At 42.2% G+C, this 3938-nt stretch overlaps 1 annotated feature.

Moving 5' to 3' along the window:
• Positions 3190–3359: an enhancer, noted in NCBI's record as "experimental_14069 CRE fragment used in MPRA reporter constructs". NCBI's record gives its function as "activates a minimal promoter by MPRAs in K562 erythroleukemia cells, with activity observed for both the introgressed and non-introgressed 10:64850388 variant alleles {active_cell/tissue: K562}" and the evidence as "EXISTENCE:reporter gene assay evidence [ECO:0000049][PMID:34662402]".

The following is a 3938-nucleotide window of genomic DNA, read 5'->3' as shown; positions in this document are numbered from 1 at the left end:
GAGACAGGGTCTCACCATGTTGCCCAGGCTGGAGTGCAGTGAATATTCACAGGCAGGATTGTAGTGCACTGTAGCCTCAAGCTTCTGGGCTCAAGTGGTCCTCGCCCCTTAGCCTCCTAACTAGCTGTGACTACAGGTACATACCACCATACCCGACAGTACTACATGACTTTGACTGTTCCTCTGGACAGCCGTGTAGGGAAAAACCTGTACCAAGAACCCACTCCATAGAACCATAGAAATCTAATGGCTAAGTATTTTTTGCTTAGTTATAACAGACACTGAAATTTTTGGAAATGCAATTATCATGTAAATTGATGAAAGATAATCCTTTGTTTTGTTTGAAACATTACCTAGAATTGTTCCTTTTTTAGATAAATCAAGTCATCAGGGGTAATGCTGCTGATAATATTTGAGTCCTTCGTAACACTCCTATAATCAGTGGACGTTTGAGGCTATTACATTCACAGTGACTCACTGTTTGGAAGCAAACATCTGACAGTCTCATTATGTCTTCAAGTATAGTCATGCCCAATCATTTACATACTGAAATGCATCCTTTATTATAAATATGTCCTCTTATTTCTCTTTATTATAGTTAGGAACATATATACAGTATTCCTAATATATGTATACTTATATATTTTAAACCATGTGTGTATGTAGACTGTATCATCTATGAATTTCATTTTAGAATCACAAACTCTGTTATAAAATATGTTATTAATAAAGGCTATTGGGTCTGACAGAGTTGAAAAATACTGAGTAGAGAGTAGAATGGTGGTTACCAGGGATGGGGTGGGGGTGTGTGGGAGTGGCTGGGGAGATGGTGGATACAAAATTTCAGTTAGGTAGAAGAATAAGTTCAAGAGCTCTATTATATAACATGGTGACTAGAATTTATTTATTTATTTATTTATTTATTTTTGAGAAAAAGCCTCCCTTTGTCCAGCCTAGGCTGGAGTGCAGTGGCACAATTATGGCTCACTCAAATATTACCAGCGGCATTGTCCTTGATGACATGCTTTACCTAAATAAGGAACAATTCTACATAATGCTTAAAACAAAACAAAAGGTTATCTTTCATCAATTTACATGATAATTGCGTCTCCTCAACTGCCTGGGCTCAAGTGATCCTCCCACCTCAGCCTCCTGAGTAGTTAGAACTGCAGGCACTCACCGCCATGCCTGGCTAATTTAAAAATTTTTTGTTGGCGGGTAGGGGTCTTCCTATGTTCCCCAGGCTGGTCTTGAACTCCTGGGGCTCAAGTGTCCTCCTGACTTGGTCTCTGAAAGTGCTGGGATCATAGGCATGAGCCATCATGCCTGGCCCAATGTGTTGTATTTTAAAAAATTGCTAGGAGAGGCCGGGCGTGGTGGCTCATGCCTGTAATCCCAGCACTTTGGGAGGCCAAGGTGGCGGATCACGAGGTCAGGAGATAGAGACCATCCTGGCTAACACAGTGAAACCCCGTCTCTACTAAAAATACAAAAAAAATTAGCCGGGTGTGGTGGGGGGTGCCTGTAGTCCCAGCTACTTGGGAGGCTGAGGCAGGAGAATGGCATGAACCCGGGAGGCAGAGCCTGCAGTGAGCTAAGATCGTGCCACTGCACTCCAGCCTGGGTGACAGAGCAAGACTGTCTCAAAAAAAAAAAAAAAATTGCTAGGAGAGTAGATTTTAAGTGTTCTCACCACAAAACAATAATAAGTATGTGAGGTAATGTGTATGTTAATTTAGTTCGACTTAGCCACTCCCCAATGTATATATATTTCAAAACAACTTGTTGTGAGATAAATACATACAATTTTTATCAATAACTAATTAATAACAAAATAAAATATGTGTTATGAATAGAGGCTGCTGGGTCTTGCAGTATTGAAAAATATTGTCTCTCCCTATCACCTCACCTTATTTTATTAAAATTTTTTTTAGATTTTTTCAATCTTTGTTTGAAACCTTATTTTGTTATCATAGCAATTATCACTAGCTAATAGCTTCTTGTTAATTAATTTGTTGGTTTGATTGTTTTCTGCTTCCCCACACTATAATGTAAGCTCTGTGATATTAGTGACCTTACCTTTTTTTTTTTTTAAGACGGAGTCTCGCTCTGTCAACCAGGGTAGAGTGCAGTGGCTCGATTTTGGCTCACTGCAAACTCCACCTCCCCAGTTCAAGCGATTCTCCTGCCTCAGCCTCCTGAGTAGCTGGGACTACAGGCGCATGCCACCTCACCTGGCTAATTTTTGTAATTTTAGTAGAGACGGCATTTCACTGTATTGGTCAGGCTGGTCTTGAACTTCTGACCTCAGGTGATCCACCCACCTTGGCCTTCCAAAGTGTTGGGATTATAGGCGTGAGCCACCGCGCCAGGCCTATCTGTCTTATTTAGTGTTTTTTTTTTTTTAAATTCTATTTTTATTTTAAGTTCCAGGGTAAATGTGCAGGATGTGCAGGTTTGTTACATAGGTAAATGTGTCCTGTGGTGGTTTGCTGCACCTATCAACCCGTCACCTAGCTATTAAGCCCAGCATGCATTAGCTATTTTTCCTAAAGCTCTTCATCTCCCCTTATTTAATGTTTTATCCTCAGTGCCAAGAACAGTGTCAAGCACAGAAGTTGGCCTCAATCAATGCTGATTGAATGGATGAGTGCATACGTAAATTAATGAATGAATGGAGACAATGGTGATCGTGTCTGTCTTCCTGTTCAGCCCCTTGGATTGAATTTGACTCCCTCTAGTTGAAGAGGTAAAGATAAGAAACTGACAGGAAGGTGTGGTAGAATTCTGCATATGAGGTAAAAACTTTTTTTTCGAGATTTTGAGAGATTCTAGATGTAGACAGATCTGTTTTTGGGGCTCAGGTGAGAAGATGTGGCACAAAATTGGGGAGGGGGTCAGTTTCCTTCCCTCTGTACTGCTCCCAGGGTTCCCTTGGTACTCTGAGGACTGGTAGCTTTGGTGGCTTCTAAAAAACCTTGGCAGAGCTTCTGTGGTTAGGAGAAGCCCATGATGTGGGAAAGCCGGAGCCTAGAACTACTATCTTGGCTGTAGGCACACGCGATGCTCCCCTTAGGGGCCTTCCAGAAACTTGTATCGGGGCAGATGAGTTAGGTTTGAGCAGCAGGTAGGAACTGAAGGGTACATCGTGAGTCATGGCCATTTGGGCACCAAAATTAACTCTGACCTCTTTTTGACTGCATAGGTTGATGGGGCAAGCAAGATACAGATTACATACACATAATGTCATTTTAAGTCATCCAGATCTTTAACATAATCTGTAGATATCATTATATAAGAGAGAACATTGAGCTATTGATTTTGTGTTGTCTCTCACCTGTCCTTAATTTGGAACCATCATAGTTGTGAATGTCAAGGCCTCTCAGCTGGGGGATCCTGTGGGAGCTGAAATCCAGCCCTTGCTTCACTCACTAAACCTCATGGGCTTCTTCTGCCTGGAGAAATACTTTTCCTTTTTTTCTCTTTTCTTTTTCTTTTTTTTCTTTTTTGAGACAGAGTCTCACTCTGCTGTCGCCCAGGCTGGAGTGCAGTGGTGTGATCTCGGCTCACTGCAACCTCTGCCTTCCGGGTTCAAGCAATTCTCCTGCCTCAGCCTCCCAAGTAGCTGGGACTACAGGCACCTGCCACCGTCTGGCTAATTTTTGTATTTTTAGTACAGACAGAGTTTCACCATATTGGCCAGGCTGTTCCCCAACTCCTGACCTTGTGATCCTCCCACCTCAGCCTCCCAAAGTGCTGGGATTACAGGCGTGAGCCACCACGCCTGGCCAATACTTTTTCTTAATTGACATGCGAATACCATCTGCTCACCAAGGCTTGGCGACTGTGGCTACCTAGAGGAAACATTTTTTATTGGCATGAAATATTTTCATGAGTGAATGGGATCCTCACCTTAATTCTTCTGACAGTTTCCTCCT

The sequence above is a fragment of the Homo sapiens genome, chromosome 10, assembly GCF_000001405.40.
Source record: "Homo sapiens chromosome 10, GRCh38.p14 Primary Assembly".
Classification (NCBI taxonomy): Eukaryota; Metazoa; Chordata; class Mammalia; order Primates; family Hominidae; genus Homo; species Homo sapiens.
This window is presented reverse-complemented; position numbering and strand designations above follow the sequence as displayed.